Source organism: Homo sapiens, chromosome 18, assembly GCF_000001405.40.
Source record: "Homo sapiens chromosome 18, GRCh38.p14 Primary Assembly".
NCBI classification, from domain to species: Eukaryota; Metazoa; Chordata; class Mammalia; order Primates; family Hominidae; genus Homo; species Homo sapiens.
Window position 1 is genome coordinate 22,963,717 of NC_000018.10, and position 23,010 is coordinate 22,986,726.

Here is a 23,010-nt window from a genome sequence, read left to right on the forward strand (position 1 = left end):
ACGGAGTGTATGAGACCTAAAAAAAGTTTATTTTAGAAAATCACACATATATAAAAGTAGACATAGTAGTATAACCAATTCCGTTGTACCCATCACTTGGTTTCAGCAGTTAATTGTGGCCATTCTTGTTTCACTTTATTTCGATTAGTCCCTCTCACTACCATTTTGAGACCTTGTCTCAAAAAAAGAGTACCATTGTCATGCTTAAAAAAAATTAATGATAGGAAGCAAAATTTTTGAGATTTTTACATGTCTGAAAATTTTTGTTGAAATAATAGTTGGAGAATATAGGTTTAGGTTGGAAATAATTCTCTTTCAGAATTCCAAGTCACTTCTTTTAGCTTCTAATGTTGCTGTTGAAATCCCACACTATTCTGAGTTTTCTTTTTTCCCCCACAATCCCCACCAAAACAGTGCTGTTAGTCTTTGTTTGTTTTTGAGATGGGATCTCATGTTGACCAGGCTTGTCTAGAACTCCTGGCCTCAAGCGATCCTCCCATCTCTATTCTGATTTTTTATCTTTTCTGTGTACTCTTTAAAAAGAAAAAAATTTCTTCTGAACGCTTATGGGCTCTTATCTTTGCAGCATCCAGAAATTCCATAATGATGAGTTCTTTTGTATAGATCTGTTAACATCCATTGTGCTGGAGACTTAGGTTTTTTTTTTTTTTTTCTTTTCAGTCCTTTAAGTAGTGGGCCATGTTCTTGATTTTCTTCACTATTCCCCACACTGCCTCAAATCCCCTCCTGCGTTTCCTTGCTTTTCCTGGAACTCCTATTCTTTATATGATAGACCTTCTAGAATAATTGCCCAGTTTTATCTAAATTTTCTCTTTACTTTTTGAGTAGATTTTCTTAGCTTTACTTTCTTACCTTCTATTTGTAGTTCTTTCTTAATATTTTTAATTTTTAATTTTTATTTTATTTTATTTTATTTTATTTTGGTTTTTGTTTAAATAGTGACAGGATCTGACTATGTTGCCTGTGCTGGTCTTCATCTGGCCTCAAGCAATTAATTCTTTTTTGCTTCAGCCCCCAAAAATGCTGGGATTACAGGCATGGGCTGCCACACCTGGATACTATTTTTAATTTCTAAAGTCTCTTTTTTGTTCTCAGAATATTTCCTTTTATGGCAATCCCATTCTCATTTTATAGTTTTCACATCATTTCTTACCTCTAGAATATAGTATGTCCTCACTTAACATTGTAGATAGGTTCTTGGAAACTATGACTTTAAAAGAAATGACCTACAGCAGCCTTCAAATAACATCCTTTCCTTTGACATCATTTCTTTTTAACAGTGAGGGGGAAAAATTAGCTTGCTTATACATCATTTGACTTAAAGTCACAGTTTCCAAGAACCTATCAATGATGTTAAGTGAAGGCTTACTGTATTCTTCATAATTTGATGATTGTGACTGTGATAGCATTGGCATTTTTTCTTTTTCTTTCTGTATAGCTTATTATTTCTTCCAGATTTTTTATTTCTTTTTTTAATGTTTTGTTTGCTATGGTTTCTTATAATTTATAAGCATTTCTCAGATGCCTTTTGATACTTGGTTATTTGTTATATTTAAGAGATGAGAATAAAGTAATTGGAAGCTCTGAGTGCATGGGTAGAGCTGTAGACTGTGAGCTTCTCTGTTAGAATGATCTGGCTGGTCTGTTTCCTCGAAGATGCCCTAATGTCAGTACCTTTAGGTCTTTCCTGTCAGGTTGGTCAGATTTCCTAAAGAAGACTCCTTAATTCTATTTTCTAGAATGTGTAATAGGGCTGACTCCCAGTGTTCTTGGAGCCAAGTAGATGACGAGGGCCTAGGCTGGAATCTGAGAATTTGGTGTGTATATATATTCATTTCATTATTGTACTCCTACTCCTAACTGAGCCTCATGGCTCCCAGACCAGACACTCTCTGTTTTAGATTGTCTAAGCATTAAACCTCCAGTCTGCTGCTGGGATGTCAAAGGGGTAATCACTTGACTGCTCAGAATATAGGAGAGAATGTTCGTATAATAATTTCTTAAAACGTGCTTTTAATCAGTCACTCCCAGAACCAATTGTTGAGCCTTTTGGGAATTTTACAGTGTGAATCAGGTTGGTTCTAGGTCAGTACTGTCTAATAGCATTTTCTGTGATCGTGGAAATTGTTCTAAATCTGCACTGTTCAATATGGTAGCAAGTAGACATGTGGCTGCTGAGCACTTGTCTGCAACTGAGAAGCTCAGTTTTTATTTTTATTTTATTTATTTAAATTGAAATAGCCACATGTGTCTGTGTCTACCATCCTGGACAATGCAATTCTCAGCTTTTCCTATCATTGGCTTATGATTTAGCATTCTCAGGTCACTTTCTATTTGCCCACCAGCTGCCTTGCTTTCGTTTTTTTGTTTTGTTTTCTCTTCCATTCTTCTTGTCCTCATGTGTTTGTATCTTTAAAATATAGATATATCTTTACTGTAATTTTATGAGATTCTAGAAAGGAGCAGAAATAGTTGCAAGTGTTGACTTTACCATCTTTAGTTAAGTGGTGTTCTTTATACAGTGTGATTTTAAGGCTTCTGATCTAATTCCTGTCTTCAGACTGCATTCCACTTAAATCATGATGCCTAGCTGTTTGTTCATTCATTCTAGAAATTCCGATTCTATTAATGCTACATATGACTTCCTATCTTTTGATTTTACATCTATATCAACATTGTTTCATATGAGTTTTACTTTTGTATAAAATGTCTGGGTTCTGGCCAGGCACGGTAACTCATGCCTGTAATCCCAGTACTTTGGGAGGCCAGGGTGGGAGGATCACTTGAGCTCAGGAGTTTGAGACCAGCCTGGGCAACATAGTGAGACCCCATCTCATTAAAAAAAAAAAAAAAAAGTCTATGTTCTTTTATTTTGCTTTGCTTTAGTTGTATACTTTTCATGTTTTATCTCTAACTTATTTTAAAATTCGTGGCATATGCTACCATGCTGTGACTTCCACAGACACTTAAATACTTACTATCTTTTTTTTTTTTTTTTTTTTTTGGAGAGAGAGAGTCTTACTCTGTCACCCAGGCTGGAGTGCAATGGCACTATCTCAGCTTACTGTAATCCCTGCCTCCTGGGTTCAAGCATTTATCCTGCCTCAGCCTCCCGAGTAGCTGGGATTACAAGCATGAGCCACCACATCCAGCTAATTTTTGTTTTTAGTAGAGATGAGGTTTTGCCACATTGGCCAGGCTGGTCTCTTAACACCTGACCTCAGGTGATCTGACCACCTCGGCCTCCCAAAGTACTGGGATTACAGGCGTAAGCCACCATGCTCTGCCAACACTTAAATACTTATTATATTATTGGCTTAGTTATTGACTTGAAATTATTATCTTTGGGCCAGGTGCAGCGGCTCACGCCTGTAATCCCAGCACTTTGGGAGGCGGAAGCAAGCGGATCACGAGGTTGGGAGATCGAGACCATCCTGGCTAACTCAGTGAAACCCCATCTCTATGAAAAATACAAAAAATTAGCCAGGAGAGGTGGCGGGCACCGGTAGTCCCAGCTACTCGGGAGACTGAGGCAGGAGAATGGTGTGAACCCAGGAGGCGGAGCTTGCAGTGAGCTGAGATTGCGCCACTGCACTCCAGCCTGGGTGACAGAGCAGGACTCCGTCTCAAAAAAAAAAAAAAAACAATTATCTTCGAATTTATTTCCTGAATTCTTAACGTGGGGTATGTGTCTCCTTTTTAACTGTATTTTTTTCTGATTAGGTAAATAATGAAATTGGAAAATGTTTCAAAAATATGGAAAATGAAGAAGAGAAAATCTCCCATAATACTGTCACCTACAAGATAACTATTATTAACATTTTGGAATATAACTCTTCCTCACCTGCTTGTGTGATATGTGTTTTTCTCTTCAACAGTCACAAATAATTAGTAAAAGCTATTTCGTATTTTTTTTTTTTTTTTTTTGAGACGGAGTCTCGCTTTGTCACCCAGGCTGGAGTGCAGTGGTGCAATCTCAGCTCACTGCAAGCTCCGCCTCCCAGGCTCACGCCATTCTCCTGCCTCAGCCTCCCGAGTAGCTGGGACTACAGGTGCCCGCCACCACGCACAGCTAATTTTTTGTATTTTTAGTAGAGACAGGGGTTTCACTGTGATAGCCAGGGTTGTCTCGATCTCCTGACCTTGTGTTCCGCCCGCCTCGGCCTCCCAAAGTGTTGGGATTACAGGCGTGAGCCACTGTGCCCAGCCTGTAATTTTTTTTATGTAATACATTGTGAATTTTTACTAATAATTTTTTTAATGCCAAAAGGAAAATATGAGGTGACTTTTTCTCCCTTGTATTTCTTGACCTTTATTCAACAATATTGACAAAAAAAAATTTTTTTTTTTTTTGAGTCAGAGTCTTGCTCTGTCCCCCAGGCTGGAGTGCAGTGGCATGATCTCAGCTCACTGCAACCTCCACCTCCCGGGTTCAAGCGATTCTTCTGCCTCAGCCTCCCGAGTAGCTGGGACTACAAGCGAGCACCACCACAGCTGGCTAATTTTTGTATTTTTTAGTAGAGACGGTGTTTACTGTATTGGCCAGGCTGGTCTTGAACTCCTGACCTCATGATCCTGTCGCCGCAGCCTCCCAGAGGGCTAAGATTACAGGCATGAGCCACTGTGCCCTGCCAATGATTGGCAAATAAATTTTGATGAATTTAATTTTTCATCAAAAATATTATTGAACACTCACTATGGGTGACATACTGTGCTGAGCAAAGCAGCTGCAAAGTTGCTTCAGGTATAATTCTACCCCTTGGTATTAGACTAGGGTTCATATTTTGACCATAACAAATTAAAACAAGGTCAGCTTCTTCAATAAATAAGTTCCCTTAGCATGAGTTTAAAATTGGCAGATTTTTATAGAATTGCAATCTGAAGAAAATGGTGGTATAACATGATTTCAGCCTATATAAGAATATGTTAAAGGTATAATAACATCATTAATCTAGTTGATTTTCACAGTATTTGCCAAGTCAGTTCCTTAAATCTTTATAAAAGTCTTGGAATTCCAAAGAAGGAAATCTCTTTTAGTGGATGAAAAATACCTTGTTTTGTTTCATAGGTTAAGAGCAGGCTTATGTGATCGCTGTGCAGTAACTGAAGAACATATGCGGAAAAAACAGCAAGAGTTTGAAAATATCCGGCAGCAGAATCTTAAACTTATTACAGAACTTAGTGAGTTTCCTTTCTTCATTTATTATTTAAAGTATGTAATGTATTATTTTTAAGACCTATTAGTAAATTGGTTGTAATTAAATGGATGGTTTACATATATTTTTCCTTATTTAGTAAAAGTTCAAATGTCCTTTTTTGTACTTTTTGTAGATTTAATCTCATGCTTAATTTAGTAAGAAATAGGGTACAAAAAGGTTGTGCAAATACTGTCCACATTGGTCTTAAGTCATCAGTTGTAAGACAAGAAGCAGGTGGTGTTTTTTTTTTTTGGACATGTCCATATTTGCTTCTTTGGTTTTAATCTTTATTTCATGTAACCTTAATACTTAGTAAAGTTAAATACAAAGCAGACAATTTATTGTTCTACACTTGTTTTCTCTCTTGGTATTTATGACATACTGTTTTCATAAGTATACTATTTTCAGTTTATTCTCCTTACCTATTGAGTGTAGAGTTTTTCTACATTCTTAGCCGCCTTCTTTTATTCTTTTAATACTTCTGTTAACCTTATTCTCTTATAACTATTTATTTCTTTTGGTGACCATTACCTGGATTTCCCATAAGCAACTCACAATCAATATATTCAAAATCTAATTAATTATCTTCTTTTCCAAACTAATTCTGTCTTTTATTTTTTTCTGTTAATTATATTGCTACCCTGTGGTTATTCAAGCAAGAATATTGAATATATGCTCATTGTTTTTAAAAGAGGTAAGAAAGAATATAGCTTTATTCTGCTCCCAGAGGTAACTACTGTTAATAGTCTGATACATATCTGTCCAGGTCCAGGTTTTTCTGTCTCTGTGCCTTGTTAGACCCCGCTTCCCTCCCTTCTCTTTTGAATTTTAATGTTATCATACCATACTTTGTGTTCTAATGTGTTACTTCACTTTAGACTATGTCTTGGAAGTCTTTACATGTTAATATGTCTATAGATTCTGTGGTGTATATGGGTGAACGTGTGCATACATTTATTTAGGAATGTAAGAATATTATCAATGAGTAGAAAATTGTTACATCTCAATAAATATGTAGTTGTTCCTTGTCATCTGTAGGGTATTGGTTCCAGGACCCTGACGCATACCAAAATCCTTGGATGCTCAAGTACCTTATATAAAGTCACATAGTATTCGCATATAACCTACCCACATTCTCTTGCATACTTTAAATCATCTCTAGATTCCTTATAATACCAAATGCAGTCTCTACGCATCACTTCATTTGTGTGAATTAAATGTAGTATTCGGTGTCTGGCAAATTCAAGTTTTGCTTTTTGGAACTTTGTAGAATTTTTTTTTCCCAAATGTTTCCCATCCACAGATTTAGAACTCACAGATATAGAAGGCCAACTGTAGTTGAGATCCACAGTAATATTATTGTTAGTACTACTGGAAATAATCTCCAATAATGTCTACATATCTAATAGATTTCCAGCAACTTTATCTAAAATAGAGCCAAAAACTCCAAGCAAGCAAAAAAGCTTATCTAGGTGTTAAAGTATAAGACAACGTTTTTTTAAATGGCTGCATTGTATGCCATAGTATAGGTGTCAATTTTTTAGCTATTGTCACTTTAATGGACTGCTCAACTTTTTGTTTGAATGTTTGAGAATTTTTATTTTCTTACATCCTCTTCAGATTTGGGCAAAAATGTATTAATAATATTCAATCTGGTGGGTGAAGAATGATACCTTTTTAAAATTGGCATTCCCTGTTACTGTTCCAGTCAAGTATTATTTTATATGATCGTCTTCTTGGGTGAATGGCTTATTTATTCTTTGCCCAGTCTTAAATTGCCCTATTTGCTGTTTGTATCTTTTAATTTAGTGAATAACTAAGAGTTATTTATATATTATGGAAGGATTATTACACTTTGGTAGATATGCTGTGCATATATTTTCTACTTTGCCATTACCTGTTGACTTCATTTTATAACTACTTGACAAGTGGAAGTTTTGTATATTTTCTTACCTTGTTTAGGAAGGCTTTCTCTATCCCCAAGAATATAAAAATACACACACGTAAATTTGCATATTTAATCCATCTGGAATTTTTAACATGGAATGTGAAGTAGAAATTTACCATCTTTAGAATTTGCAGGCATTCATCCTCAAGCTTACTGTCTCACAGTCAAAAGATGGCAGGTACTTTTTCAGGCCTCGTAACTGCATTCATACAAGAAGGAAGAAGCAGCAGCAAAAGGCTGAAATGAGCATGCCAGGAGAGTCTTTAAAAAAAAAAAAAAGCTTCTTTGAACACCCACCCAATAACTTTTGCTTCAGTCTCACTAGCCAGGAACCACCCCGACCCTCCCACTCACTCCATCATTGGAAGATGACTAAGGATTTCTGAGGTCTTTCATTAGCTTTATTTTGCTGTAGATTGTCTAGGTAAAAATATTTGCAAATAGTGACAATTTCGTCTTTTCTTTCAATTATTTTTACAGTTTCTTTTGGTGATTGTTTTTCTTTACATACTTTATTGGCCTAAGGGGCTTTAGAATACTGCCCAGAATAGCAGTTGATACATAAGGGAAGACTAGACTATATTACATTTAAGTGTGCTGTGGCCTTCTAGTAGATACGTGAAATTAAGTTATGGATATTTCTTTCTGTACCTCTTTTGCCAAGTTTTGCTTAATTGTGAATTTATAAAACTCTTAGCATCTGTTCATGTAGTAAGTTTTACTGATAGCTTTTCTAGGGTGAACCAATGTTTAATTTCTTTTTTTTTTTTTTTTTTTTTTGAGACGGAGTCTCACACTTTCACCTAGGATGGAGTGCAGTGGCGTCATCTCTGCTCACTGCAACCTCTGCCTTCCAGGTTCAAGCAGTTCTCCTGCCTCAACCTCCCAAGTAGCTGGGATTACAGGCGCCCACCACCACGCCCAGCTAATTTTTTGTATTTTTAGTAGAGAAGCGGTTTCACTATGTTGGCCAGGCTGGTCTTGAACTCCTGACCTCGTGATCCGCTCACCTCGGCCTCCCAAAGTGCTGGGATTACCGTTGTGAGCCACCGTGCCTGGCCCCAGTGTTTAATTTCTAAAACAGACAGGCTTGATATGTTAATGTTTTAATTGGGGAACATACATTTAAATCATCATTTTGTTCATTCAGTTTTTCTGCCAGCAAGGTTCTGTTACGATCCAAAGAATTAGGGCAGGCGCGTTGGCTCACGCCTGTAATCCCAGCACTTTGGGAAGCTGAGGTGGGTGGATCACAAGGTCAGGAGTTCAAGACCAGCCTGGCCAAGATGGTGAAAACCCGTCTCTACTAAAAAAAATACAAAAATTAGCCGGGCATGGTGGCAGGCATCTGTAATCCCAGCTACTCGGAAGGCTGAAACAGAATTGCTTGAACCCAGGAGGCAGAGATTGCAGTGAGCCAAGATTGCGCCACTGCATTCCAGCCTCGGCGACAGAGCGAGACTCCCTCTCAAAAAAAAAAAAAAAAAAAAAATCAAAGAATTAGCTGGGATGCTTTGAATCTTGTTTATTTCTTTTTTTTTTTTTTTAGAGATGGATTCTTGCTCTGTCTCCTAGGCTGGAGTGCAGTGATGCTATCTCGGCTCACTGCAACCTCTGTCTCCTGGGTTCAAGCAATTCTCCTGCCTCAGCCTCCCCAGTAGCTGGGATTATAGGCACGTGCGACCACGCCCGACTAATTTTTGTATTTTTAGTAGAGATGGGGTTTTGCCATGTTGGCCAGGCTGGCCTCGAACTCCTAACCTCGGTTGATCCGCTTTGCATTTTTAAAGTTAATATCTTAATTCTCTTCCGAATAATATAAGAATTTTAAAGCACTTAACTTTGATGATCTTCTCCACTTACATTCTGCTCTTGCCCAGTATTTCATTTCTGTATAGTTTTGGGGTTTTTTAGCCCTACAAGCTAGATATTTTTTTAAAAAATTACCTTTAAGTAAAATTACCTTTCAATTAGCCCAAGGGAGAATCCTTGCTTTGCTGATAATAAATCTTACAGGGACCCTACTCTAATGACTGAAAATGGGAGGGAAAGACACCTTGCTAGAGAGCTTTTCCGTATGGATAGTTGGTCTTCTGAGCGTGAAAGCGCCTTTTCTTGTGTCTACTATAAATTACTTGGGAGCACTGCTCTGATTTTCTTGTCTCGGTATTTATTAATGACTCCTACGTCAAAACTTTTAGAGATCTATCCTCATGACTTTAGCCTAAGGGCAACTATTAGGCACCTTTTATTTACCCGTTTAGCAATTTGTGGGCCATGTTGCCTCTGATACTAGAATTGGTATGAGATTCTTCTAAGAATACTCCCTTTTTTAAAGGCCCTTTTTCATTGGATTTTACCATCAATCTGAGCCTATTTTTAAATAATTCAGAAATTTTTTATAGTTCTGATCTGTTAGTGACACCCTTTCTGGCTTTTTAATACTGCAGTAGACTTATTTTAGAGTGTTGTCATTTTATTTGGATTTGGAGAGGGAAAATCAAGTAAACCATCTTAATCAGAAATCTAAGGTCATCTTTGACTTCTGTGAACCCTACAAAGGATGAGTTGCCAAATACTATGATTCTGCCTCTGTTACAGTTCTTCTACTGGTCTTTACTTCCTGTTTATCCACCTCTACATAGGTCCAGATATTCATTTCTTTTAATGACCACCTGACTTTTTGTCTTGTCAATACTTTCTTCTCACATTGGTATATGCTATATGTACTAACAAATCAGTCTTCCCATCATTCATCTATAAAAAATGATTCCTGGTAATCTATAAGATAAAGTTTTAATTTCTTAACCTGCTATTGAAAACTTTCTACCGTTTATTATACCCAGTCTTTGTTCCACTGATTCTCTCTGTAGAATAATCTCCTGTCCAGCTCAGTTGCCCTTTTTTTGATGAATGCCTTCCTGATCTTCTCAAGGGCCCAAAGTAACCTCTTTCTCCTTGGAAATTTCCTTAGTACTTTATTTGTACTTCTCGATTGCCCTTGTCACTTTTAAACCTATAAAACATGTTTATGTAGTATCTTGTCTCCTTTGTTAGACTGCACATTGCTTTAGGTCACTGTCTATATCTTAATTTTTTTGGATCCTCCACGAAAGTAGTTTAATAACCTCACATGTTGTAGATAGTCCAGAAAATTTACTCAGTGTAAGAAAATATGTTTAGATTTATAAACCACTAAATTATTAACAAATTTTAGAGTACAATTAACCTTCTTTGGTGAAAGTTGATTGTATTTACTGTGACCTGATTTCTGGGATCCACTTCTTTTGCTAAAACACATGCTTAACCAGTGACATCATACTAAGCATTGATGAGAGTTTTATGCTGGTTCCAGTAGAAGTTACAGCCCAAAACTGGATTTCTGCTTTACAAATTAAATAAATACAGATAGGAAAATTTGGTGGAGATTCAAACAAACAGATACTCTTCAATGGATATATTTAAGTTACTGATAACCATAATTATTCATGAAACCTAGAGTATGACTAAGAAGAAAATTTGATTTGATAAATGTGCTTGTTATAAAAATTACACTGATATTCAGCGTTTTTGGTGTTTTTTTGTTTTGTTTTGTTTTGTTTTTGAGACTCTCCGCCACCCAGGCTAGAGTGCAGTGGCACTATTTTGGCTCACTACAACCTCAGCGTCCTAGGTTCAAATGATTCTCCTGCCTCCACCTCGAATAGCTGGGATTACAGGCATGCGCCACCATGTCCGGCTGATTTTTGTGTTTTTAGTGGAGACGGGGTTTCACCATGGTGGCCAGGCTGGTCTCGAACTCCTCACCTCAAATGATCCACCCACCTCCGCCTCTGAGTGCTGGGATTACAGCTGTGAGCCACTGCGCCTGGCCTATTTTATTTTTATGATCAAATTAATTTCAAGATAGAGACTCTTGCTAAAATGGTATTTGAAATTAGTAGGACTGAGTAACCAGATGGAATGCTTTCTTGTCCTCAGTATGTATAATTATACTCCCTAGTACATGAAGTACCCTCTTTTGCCTGCAAGCATTACATAAAATTATCAGTTAATCAGTTACATGGAACTGGCACGGTGTGAGATGTAGTACTCCCTACCTAGTAACGAATTAGTTTTGCGCACACTAGTGTTAACCCTGAATAAACATTATGATTTAGGATTAGAAGTACTAATTTCTTCATACATGCTGACATATTTTATTTGAAAGCCTAACATAGATGTTAATATAAATATATTATTTGCCTTCTTTTTCACATTGTTTTTAAGTGAATGAAAGGAATACTCTACAGGAAGAAAATAAAAAGCTTTCTGAACAACTCCAGCAGAAAATTGAGTAAGTATTTTCCTCCAACCTTGTTATTTTATTTTATTTAGCTATACAAACCATGAAGATAACTGTAAGAGTTGCAGATTTCATTTTAAAAATTATGAAGTGTTCTGTAGTTAAAAAATACAAAGAAAATCACTACATTTTTGTGTTTTGAGAGTATAGTGTGAATGCATCTCTTAGATTAGTGCTTGAAGAAAGTGTCAACATTGTAATTAAAACATTTTAATTTTTATAATGATTTATTATAAATAATACATTATTAAAATACTTATATTTCAAACAGATGTTTGAGTTTTGTTAGCTCCCTTCCAGCCCTGTCCCAGAAGCTTCATAAGGGCAAACTGAATAAGTGTTTCCTCTTATATAGTACTCAGGCCTGTAGAACTTCTTCCTTCCTCTGTTTTTCTCCCTTTTCTCCCCATTTCTCTTAAAGAATAAAACCAGTAACTTTTATCTTGTGTGCCACTTCCTCTTGTGTTTTATGTTTATTATTTCTAATTCTCACTGTGACTTTGCAAAGTAGTTTTATTATCCCCACTTTACAAATGGGGAAACCAAAGGTCACAGTCAAATAACTTGCCTGTCGTCTTACAGCTGGTAGGTAATAGGACTGTCACTCAGACCCATATTTTTTCTGAAAAGCCTCTTTTCTTTCCATTATCCAACACTGTCTCAAAAGAAGAATATTTTTCTAGATATGATCTGACTAATGCAGAGCAGAGCAGAGATATGACTAACTTTTAGTTCCCATTTATATAAAGCTTATATACTATTTTTGAAAACTTAGGATTCAGGATAATCCTAATGGCGTTATAGCGTTCCTAAAGATCCTGTTGCGTTTAAGTAGACATCTACAAAAACTTCAGTAAAACTATGTAGATGTAACATTATTTTGGCTTAGAATAGTTATTTTTGTATGAACACATCTCACAAGTAGAATTATCATTCTTACTGGTATACTTTTAGGATAATGGATATCCAATAGAATTCTGATATTCCTCCCATGTGATTGGTCTACTGAATACTGATAGCCAAAGGGAATTTTGAGGAGAAATAATAGTCAGATGAGGAAAGGAACCTATGAGATCAGACTGATGTTATAAAATGTTTGTAAGAAAATGTCAACACTTTCTAATTTTAATAATGCTGTATAATGAAGAGAGAACACAGGACACAGATCCACAATCTGTTACATAGAATTCCAAAACCCAAAAGGTTATTTTTGAAATGTTGTTCACAACCTAACCTCACTGCAATGGCAGAATGCTGTTTATAGTCTTTATCCCACTTCATGTGAGTATTCATATGTTTTGCTGTGAAAATATCAATGTGTTTGATTACAGGATGATGCTTCAGACTCCACTGGAGCTGTTATGTAATTATGTATATATGTTCTGTATTACTGTATTACTTTCATTTTTTTTAAAAAATATGAATTTGGAATCCCGTCTGGTTCCAAGGATTTTAGATAAGTGATTGTTGACCTACATTAATTTATGTGAAGTGATTATGTATGTACGTAGCTTATGGTATTTTGAACACATCAGCCTTGATCTTTATGAGTACCAAAGGGATGAGATACCAAGTGTGTAGAAGTTAACACAGAATTAGATAGACGATTGCCTCAAAAACCAATGTGTATAAGTTAGGTTGAAACTATATCGTGTCATTTGCTTGGTAGAAATATGAATTCTAATTAGTTTAGAATTTATTTTTAGTGTTCTCAAGCACATGCATTTTTCCTGTTGAAATTCAAATTTTAGAAAAGAAGTGAAGGCTAAAGTTTGAAATTACAGGAAAGAGTAATCATATAGATGAGCTTAAGGCATGTATGTTTATTTAGGACATGCTTAGTCAAAAGAGTATAGGAGATGATCTGATTGTGTCTTTTATTCTCTTCTGAAATATAAGATAGTTGTGATTCTCATGAACCAACTTCTTCTGTAGCTTGGTCGCAAAGAAATTGCATTTTGCTCAGCAGTTTTGTTTTGTTTTGTTTTGTTTTTAAAAAAGCAAGTATCATCTTGTAAAGGCAACCTAATTTTCTCTGATCACCTAAACCACTGTCATATTATGCTATTTGTGCCTGAAATTTCCCTGAACTTTAGAAGAAAATATTATTTGACTTCTGCTTGTTAAATGCAGTAACTCTAACTCTTCTGAGCTAGTTTTGATGTTACAAGATGGCTTATATGATAGGGCAGTTATTAGTGACACCAAAATTATTCAGTAAAATTTTGCCACTATAAAGTTAAAAATGTGTATAAAGCTAGGTATTGAGGTCATCATTCTTTTCGTTTTAGAAAATAGATGTGATGGGTCAGTGAAAGTCAAGGGAGTCTATACACGTAAGAGTTCAAAGGACTGTAGAACTCATTGCATTCAACCCTCTTCTAAATTGAATTCCTTATACAGCTTCTTTAACAAATAGCTATTGTTTGAACACGTCTAGTAGAAGTTTACTGTTTCCCAAGCCTATTTAAATTTAGTGAGACAAAATTATTAGAAAATTCTAAGTTTATAGAAATTACACTGCTTATAAGTTATATTTCTTGATTATGACTGCCTTCCAGGACCATCTTAAGCAAGTCTCTTCTCCTGTGCTACTTGACGACTCTTTTGATACATGAAGACAGCTATCATGGCCCTCCTGAGTCTTGTTTTCTCTAGAGTAAATATCCTCTGTTCATTAACTGTGGCATTAAATATCCTCTGTTCATTCATGTGGCATTACTTCAACTCTTCAAACTGTGAATTTTTAAAAATGTTTTAGTTCGTCAATATCTGAATTAAGAAATCAATATTCTAGGTATAGCCTGATCAGTGGAGCAGTACTGCCACCTCCCCTACAATGGCTATAATGTTACTTCGTTAAGTTTAAATTATGTTTTAACTGGAAATGTAAGTTCTTCAGAGTAGAAAAGGAAAAAAGCTGAATATTTAAAACTTTTTTACAGACTCATGAAGGGAAACCCCAGATCCATAATTATAGGTCTTTAGGGAAGAAACCAACTAAAACAGTTTTGACAGGAGTTTAAGAGGGAGCAGAGGTCCATAAATCAAACAGCTCAAGCCATCAGAAGGAAAAGTGAAAGGAGGACAAGTGTGCATAATTAATTTAACCAAAAGCTGTGACGTGAACTCTTTCTCTCAGAAAATCAGTGAGACTAGTGTTTTAAAGGATGAACTTGGTTAACATATGGAGTTTTGTTTTTTCCTTTTATGACAAAGGAAGACAAAGCCAGCACTCATTTACTTAGTTTGGGCACCTCTAGTTAGAGCTAGTTTTGTTTGTTTTTTTGTTTTTTCCTTTTGTGATCCCAGCTTCTTCCACATTGACTCTGCCAGGAAATCAATTGCTTCTCGTGACTCATTCATGTTTCAGGTGGAATTTTTATGACTAATAGGCAAGCAGGCTGTGACGTGATTAGTTAAAGCTAGGTCAGATAGATTTCACACTCCATTAATTTATAAGCCTTTCTCATATGACTTTAACTTACTGTTTTTCCAGAATAAGAAAATTACAGGAAGAGATTAAAAAATTAGATATCAGATCTATTGCACAGAATGGTGACTTAATAATGATTGTATATTTCAGAACTGCCAAGTAGATTTTAAATGTTTTTACTACAAAAAAAAGATAAGTGTGTGAAGTGATAGATGTTAATTAGCTTGATTTAATCATTCTACACTGTAAACATGTATCAAAACATTTTGTTGAACCCAGTAAGTAGATACAATTATTATTTGTCAATTAAAAATAAAATTTGGCTGGGCACAGTGGCTCATGCCTGTAGTCTCAGCACTTTGGGAGGCCAAGGTGGGCAGATCACTTGAGGTGAGGAGTTTGAGACAGCCTGGGCAACATGGTAAAACCCTGTCTCCATTAAAAATACAAAAACTAGCCAGGTATGGTTGCACGCGCAGCTGTAGTCCCAGCTACTCGGGAGGCTGAGACACAAGAATCACTTGAACCTGGCAGAGGTTGCAGTGCGCTGAGATCGCACCACTGCACTCCAGCCTGGGCAACAGAAGGAGACTCCGTCTCAAAAACATAAAATAAAATTTTAAATAATTTTATGTTTATTTTATTTTATGTTTATGTTTATTTTATTTAAAATTTAAAAAATTTTAAATAATTAGACATTAGCTCTAAAGATTGTTCCTTGGTATAAAATGTAGGATTAAAGCCTACAAATAATATTGGTATCATTCAGGAAATTAAAGTGTAAATCTTTTTTGGGAAAAATTAGTCTTTGTCTTCCAATTAATGTTTCTTAAAAATCTCTGTTGGTCATAGTTCATACAGTTCTCACTATATAAGCTTTTATTTGGAAATAGTATTGCAAGTTGATACGAGTCTAATAGGACAGACTGATTTGGTCATGTAAAGCCTAAATGTCTGACAGACTGGTAACAATTGGTTGGCAAATAAGGTCAGTAATGGTTTGACATGGGAAAGTCAATTAACTTTATTTTTACTCAACATTCACAATTCAATTCAAACCCAATCTTTCAGTTACAGTTGATCCTGAATTGAGTTGGGCAAGAACATATGCCTAGATCCACACAAATTTATTCTCTAGTGGAATCTGGGAATGTCTCCTATTCACTCAACAAATGTTTACGCCATACCTACTGTATGTCTACTGTGGTAGGCTCTTGTGATTCATCGGTTAACCAAAGATCCCATCCTCTTAGAACTTATATTCTAACAGGTGAGCAATAGATACAATAAATAAATTGCAGCTGGGCGCCGTGGTTCACGCCTATAATCTCAGCACTTTGGGAGGCCGAGACGGGTGGATCACTTGAGGTCAGGAGTTTGGGACCAGCCTGGCCAACGTGGTGAAACCCTGTCTCTACTAAAAATACAAAAATTAGCCAGGCATGGTGTTGCACGCTTGTAATCCCACCTACTCAGGAGGCTGAGGCACTAGAATCACTACAACCCAGGAGGCAGAGGTTGTAGTGAGCCGAGATTGGACCACTGCACTCCAGCCTGGGCAAAAGAGCAAGACTCAGACTCAAAAAAAAATCTAAATAAATAAAAATGAGTAAATTGCATACTATGTTAAAAAGCAGTAAATGCTGTGGATAAAGTTTATAGAGCAGAATAACAGGGAACAGGAGTACTAGGGTGTGTGAAGGGAGGTTGCAATTTTAAACGGTAAAATTCCAGCAGACTTGAAGGAGATTAGAGAGATAATTAGGTATGTAGGTATCTGGGGATGAGCATTCCAAGCAGGTGGAACAATTGGTGCAAAGAACCTAAGGTGGGAGTATGCTTGGTGTGTTTGGGGAACCTCAAGGAAGAGAGTGTGGCAGGAGTAGAGTATAATAGGAAAAAAGGTCAGAGAGGAAAAATGGGAGGGGCACCATCAGGTCATGTAGGATCTTCATGGATCAAAGGACTTTGGCTTGTGTTCTCAGTGAAATGAGCAGATGTGACAGGGTTTTCATGAGATTTCATCCATATGACTTAAGTCTTTTTGGGGTTTTTTTTTTTTTTTTTGGAGACAGGGTCTCACTGTGTTGCCGAGGCTGGAGTGGAGTGGCATGATCATAGCTCACTGCAGCCTCGACTTCCTGGGCTCAGGCAACCCTCCCACCTCACCCTCCCAAGTAGCTGAGACTACAGGTGTGTGCCACCACGCCTGGCAAATTTTTTAATATATTTGTACGTAGCAATAGGGTTTTGCCTGGGCCTCCCAAAGTGCTGGAATTGTAGGTGTGAGCCACTTATGTCTTTTTTTTTTTTTTTTTTTTTTTTTGAGACGGAGTCTCGCTCTGTTGCCCAGGCTGGAGTGCAGTGGCACGATCTCAGCTCACTGCAAGCTCCGACTCTGGGTTCACGCCATTCTCCTGCCTCAGTCTCCCGGGAGCTGGGACTACAGGCACCTGCCACCACACCCAGCTAATTTTTTGTATTTTTAGTAGAGACAGGGTTTCACCGTGTTAGCCAGGATGGTCTCGATCTCCTGACCTTGTGATCTGCCCGTCTCAGCCTCCCAAAGTGCTGGGATTACACGTGTGAGCCACCGCGCCCGGCCCCAATTTATCTCTTAATAGGACTCTTGTGACTGTTGTTGAGAGTAGACTATAAGGGGGCCTAGATAAAAGCAGTAACAGAAACTCAAATTTTGAAGCCTTCTTGTAGACTATGGATAACACATTTGGTTAACAATGTGTTATTGTTAGGGTCTGACTGCTGAGATTTAAATCCTGACTCTGTTACTATTTTAGTAAATGACTTCTGTATCTTCATTTCCTCATTTGTAAAATGAAAGTAGTAATACCTCACAGAGTTGTGATAATTAAACTCATAATTTAAATAGTGCCGGGCAGTGTAAACACATAACAAAAATTGGTTGTTATCATTGTTAGTGTTCTCATCCTGTATTTGTCAAGCATGCTAATTCTACTACCATGATGTTTAACGTTCTTTCCTTTCCATATGTACTTAAAATATTCTAGTTCAGACCGCAGACAGAGCGGCTTGCCTGGACTATTATAGCCACTAATTGATTTCCTTGCCTCCTGTCCTTCTGTCCCAATCTTGCACAATACTGTTAGATTGTCACATTATATCCAAGCTCTAAAACCTTAATTTCTTTCCTCTTGCTTTCTACATTATGTGCACATTGAGCTCATGGCTCTCGTTCATGTAATTCCAGCTTTCCCTTCTCCAACATAAGTACACAGTACTGCATGCCTTTCCTCAGACTGTGGGTTCTCTCCTGATCTTGTCTGCAATTTGAAATACTTTTAATTTCACCTGAAGTGCTATTGACTATACTTTCTACTTCACTTCTCACATAGTATTTCCCACTGGGTACTGTAATCATTCGTGTACTTATCTACTTAGGTTTGGAACATTAGATGCAAGGGATTACATCCCTTAGAGCTTCATGTTTGTGTTCTACTGTAACTCCATGCCATGTAGTAAATGTTTTAATACTCATTGAATTGATTTTCTTTCCATTGTCATTCTTCTCTAGGAATGATCAACAGCATCAAGCAGCTGAGCTTGAATGTGAGGAAGACGTTATTCCAGATTCACCGATAACAGCCTTCTCATTTTCTGGCGTTAACCGGCTACGAAGAAAGGAGAACCCCCATGTCCGATACATAGAACAAACACATACTAAATTGGAGCACTCTGTGTGTGCAAATGGTAAGAGTTGGAGTTGTATTTTAGTTCTCTGGTTTTGTAAACCAGTGTTCATCTACTAGTTTTTATGTTATTCAATCTAGTGATAAGAAGATAGTCACTATTCTGGTATCCCATGGTACAACTATGAGTTTAACTTCTATTTGTAAAGTGACTGAGAAGGCGTTTTCTGCCCGTGTTATGTATAGATACGTGTCATCTATATGACATGTAAATATACCATATTTTATAAATGTAGTAAATAGTTTCTTTTTTCTTTTTATTTTAAAAATATTCCTATGTGTATATATCCAAGTGGGATAGAAGGAAAAAGGAAAGGAACTTAATGTTAATTTCTACCTCCTGTGTACCAGGTATTATGCTGAGTGATTTGCATGTATTATTGCTATGTTTTAATTCTCGTAACAGGCTTGTGAGATAACTATCAGCTCTTTTGTTTTATAGATGAGGAAAGATATGTTTAGAAAGGTTAACTCACTCAAGGTCAGCTATTATGTAGATGAGTCAAAATTCAAATACAGATCTTCTTAGCTCTGAACTTTCCTACTCTCCAGGTCTTGCCACATGGGTACTCCTGCCATTGGAGCTGTCTGTAACTGGCTATTTTTATTTGTTGTAATTTGTAGGAGTTAGTGGTAATCAAGAAATGGTGTTATAATATGTACACTTTGTGGCTTTTCAGTGACATGTTTCTAATTCCAGCCTAGTTTATCATTTCTGCTAAATGCTTTAAAACTGTCTTTTCACATAGTCCCAAAATTTGTTATGTGCCATGATACAAGTATTACTTTTAGTATTAATCTAAAGCAAACAGTAAAGACTTTAATTTTTAACCTAAACTATTTGCAACAAGGAAAGCATGGGGGACGGGGGATATATATGTACTACTATATTTGTATAATACAAATAAATTGTTGACAGTAAATATGCCTTTAAACAAATAAGCAGATCTTATTCTTAGATGTTGGAACATTGACAGTTTTCCCCCACTTTATAAGCGTTTGTATCACCATCTAGTGGAAAACAAAAGAACTGTTAAAAATCCTACACTTAAATAGGAGCTAAGTTAAAATGTAAAATCATAGATCTAAAATGAATATCCGTTGACCTTTTAGTTTGCTATCAGACAGGACATGAATCATTAAAGATAATCACTGCATAATTTACATCAGGTTTAAATTCACAAATAAGAATATCTAGAAAACAATTCCATATTAGGAAAGTCTTTTGTAACCAATATAAATGCTTCTGGTTTATTTCTTCTTTGTATGAAAGCAGCATGTAACTATTTAGAAATTTAATTCACTTGCTTTAACCTTGTTCTGATCATTTTTTACTTGGAATCTGAAATTTGGTTTTAAGATGTACGATAACCTTGAGCCATACAAATGATTTTAAAATAATTTTAAGGCCGGGCACGGTGGCTCACACCTGTAATCCCAGCACTTTGGGAGGCCAAGGTGGGTGGATCACGAGGTCAGGAGATCGAGACCATCCTGGCTAACATGGTGAAACCCTGTATGTACTAAAAATATAAAAAATTAGCTGGGCGTGGTGGCACACGCGTGCAGTCCCAGCTACTCGAGAGGCTGAAGCAGGAGACTTGCTTGAACCCTGGAGGTGGAGGTTGCAGTGAGCTGAGATCATGCCACTGCACTCCAGCCTGGGCAACAGAGCAAGACTCCATCTCAAAAATAATAATAATAATAATAATTTTAAATGCTTTAATGACTAATTAGTCCTGTTCTCTAACTTCCCTTGCTTGCTTATTTTAAGGTTTATAATGCTTTTTAATATTACTCTCAAGTTATAAATAGTAAAACCATTTCACTTTACCTTGTCCTTATTTTGGTTTTCTTTGAACTAAATCTTTAAATATTGGAGTGATTTCTGATAAAGCATGCTTCAGAGTTTCCTTCCCGAAAATAGAAACTCTAAAACAAAGATCATGGAGATAAATGATATAGTATACATTAGATTGATTGATCATTTGTTTATTGATTGATTATTTGAGATAGGGTCTCACTCTGTCATCCAGGGTGGAGTACTGTGGTGTGATCTGTAGCTTACTACAGCCTGGAACTTTTAGGCTCAAGAGATCCTCCTGCCTCAGCCTCCCAAGGTGCTCAGATTACAGTCATGAGCCACTGTGCCCAGCCCAGTATACCTTTTTAAATTAACCTGCTGATTTGTAACAAATATAAAAAGAGAAGTAACACTAAAATGTTACTACTCTAGGCAATTTGGGTTAGAAGAAGCTGTCTGTTCTAGTCCCCTCTCTCCCAATGTCTTAACTTAAACAGCTTTGTTTCTTAGTGAAATTAAAGGAGCTTACTTCTTAGAATATGATAATTATGTCAATAAAACAGTACTTATATTGGATTTAAATACAGATAATACATAAAAATTTTAAATATGAATAAATAAAAATAATTTGATAATGCTTTTCATCATCATTGTTTATTGTGTAATCTCTTATTTTTTTCTCCCCTTAGAAATGAGAAAAGTTTCCAAGTCTTCAACTCATCCACAACATAATCCTAATGAAAATGAAATTCTAGTAGCTGACACTTATGACCAAAGTCAATCTCCAATGGCCAGTAAGCAAGATACTGAGATTACTTTACAAGTTTAAAATTGTGGTTATTGGTGGGTAACAGTGACCCACAGTCTAACTTAGACAATATTTTAAAGGTATTTTCCATATAATTTTGTTTATATTACTAGTTTACTATCTTTTTCATATTGGAAAGTAATGTTATCCTATTCATATAAATATCCCTAATCATATTAATATAAATTACTAATAATTTTAAGTAAAGAAGGCTTTACTGTGATTTACTTATTTGTTCAACAAATATTGAAGCATCTGTTGTATACCAGGCACTGAATAAAACAAAGCCCTTGTCCTCATGGAGCTTATGATCTAGTTGAGGGAGAAATAAAATTTATGTCAGATAGAAGCAAGTGCTCTGAAGAAAAGTAAAGCAGGGTAAGAAGGGATATTAGAAAGCCTCACTTGTAAAGTGATGTTTGCATAGGGACTGAGGGAGGGAAGTGAGTCACGTGGCTATCTGGGAGAAGGGCACCCAGGCAGAGAAATTAGCAAGCCCGGAGGCTTTGCAGTGAAGATGCCATTTGGTTTGTTTGAGGAACATTAAGGAACCCTGTGTGGCTGGAGCAGAGTGAGTAAAGGGGAGATTGGTTTGGACAACAGGAAAAATAGAGTTACCATTTACTGAGATGGAAGACTGGGAGCCGCAGGTGTATAGGTTGGGGCGGGGGTGGTTAAAATTAGAAGTTTGGTTTCGGTAATATTCTGTTTGAAATGCAAACTCAACATTCAGGTAGAGTTTGGATTCATGAGTAGATGTGAGTTAGAATTTAGAGAAGTTGAGGATGGAGACACATATGGAGGTCATCAGCAGGTAGATGGCATCTAAGCCATGAAACTAGATGAGATTACCAAGCAAGTGATAATAGATGGGGATAAGAAGAAGTCCAAGTATTGAGCCTTGGGGAACTTCATTATGTAAAGTCATGATTTTCAACTTTTCTTTTGTTGAACAACCCCCACCCCAGCATTTTTAGACATTTCCCCCCTCCCCCCAGTCCCTTCCCTGCTGGAATTTTATTACTGCAGATCTACTGTATATCTGTTTAGGTGATACGTGTATGCATGTATGTCTGTGCTTTATACATAGTAAGGTTTTTTTTGCTCCCCCCTGCCCCGAACCATTTTTCACCCCCTTAGAGAAAATACTGTAGCTGTTGAGGTTGCGAAAATGAGTAGGAACCAACAAAACAGAGAAGGAGCTGCCAATGAGATAGGAAAACTAAAAATGATGTCCTTTAAGCCAAGTGGAGAGAGGACGAAGAGGTGATCAACTGTGTTTAACAATGCTAATAAGTCAAGTAAGATGAAGACTTCTTAGAATTGACCATGAGATTTGGTTGCATGTAGATCATTGAGTGTTAAACTAGTAACATGATAAAAATTGTTAAGGTGTAATGGTGACCATCTGAGATCGGTCTCATGTTCAAAGGAAACTAAGGACAGAGAAAGTGGAAAGAGCACACACAAACAAGTACTCCCAAGACATTTTGCAGTAAAGAGGAGGAGAGAACAGGACAGTGGCTAAAGAAGAACATGGGTCAAGGGAGGATTTTTTTTCAAGATGGAATATTATAGCATGATCGGCATTTATTTATGTTGATAGGATGATCAAGTAAATAGGAGAAAATTAATAATTCTGGAGAAAGAGGGAACAATTGCTACATCCTTAAAAAGGTCAGAGGAGATGAGATCCAGAGCCCAGTTGGGAGGGTTGGTCAA

General features: G+C 36.6%; 1 protein-coding gene across 14 annotated transcripts in view, besides 1 other annotated feature; it reads left to right on the forward strand.

Annotated features, from left to right (window-relative positions):
• Nucleotides 1-23,010, forward strand: part of RBBP8 (RB binding protein 8, endonuclease) — a 112,348-nt gene that overhangs the window by 49,578 nt on the left and 39,760 nt on the right. For all 14 annotated transcript variants that reach the window (XM_047437728.1, XM_006722519.3, XM_011526132.3 and 11 more), the window contains 4 exons: nucleotides 5,090-5,202; nucleotides 11,437-11,503; nucleotides 18,502-18,677; nucleotides 21,170-21,274. In XM_047437728.1, the coding sequence (XP_047293684.1) occupies nucleotides 5,090-5,202; nucleotides 11,437-11,503; nucleotides 18,502-18,677; nucleotides 21,170-21,274 (461 nt within the window). The remainder of the gene's footprint in view (nucleotides 1-5,089; nucleotides 5,203-11,436; nucleotides 11,504-18,501; nucleotides 18,678-21,169; nucleotides 21,275-23,010) is intronic.
• Nucleotides 11,896-12,096: a silencer, noted in NCBI's record as "peak3069 fragment used in MPRA reporter construct". NCBI's record gives its function as "represses an SCP1 promoter by STARR-seq MPRAs in K562 erythroleukemia cells {active_cell/tissue: K562}" and the evidence as "EXISTENCE:reporter gene assay evidence [ECO:0000049][PMID:32103011]".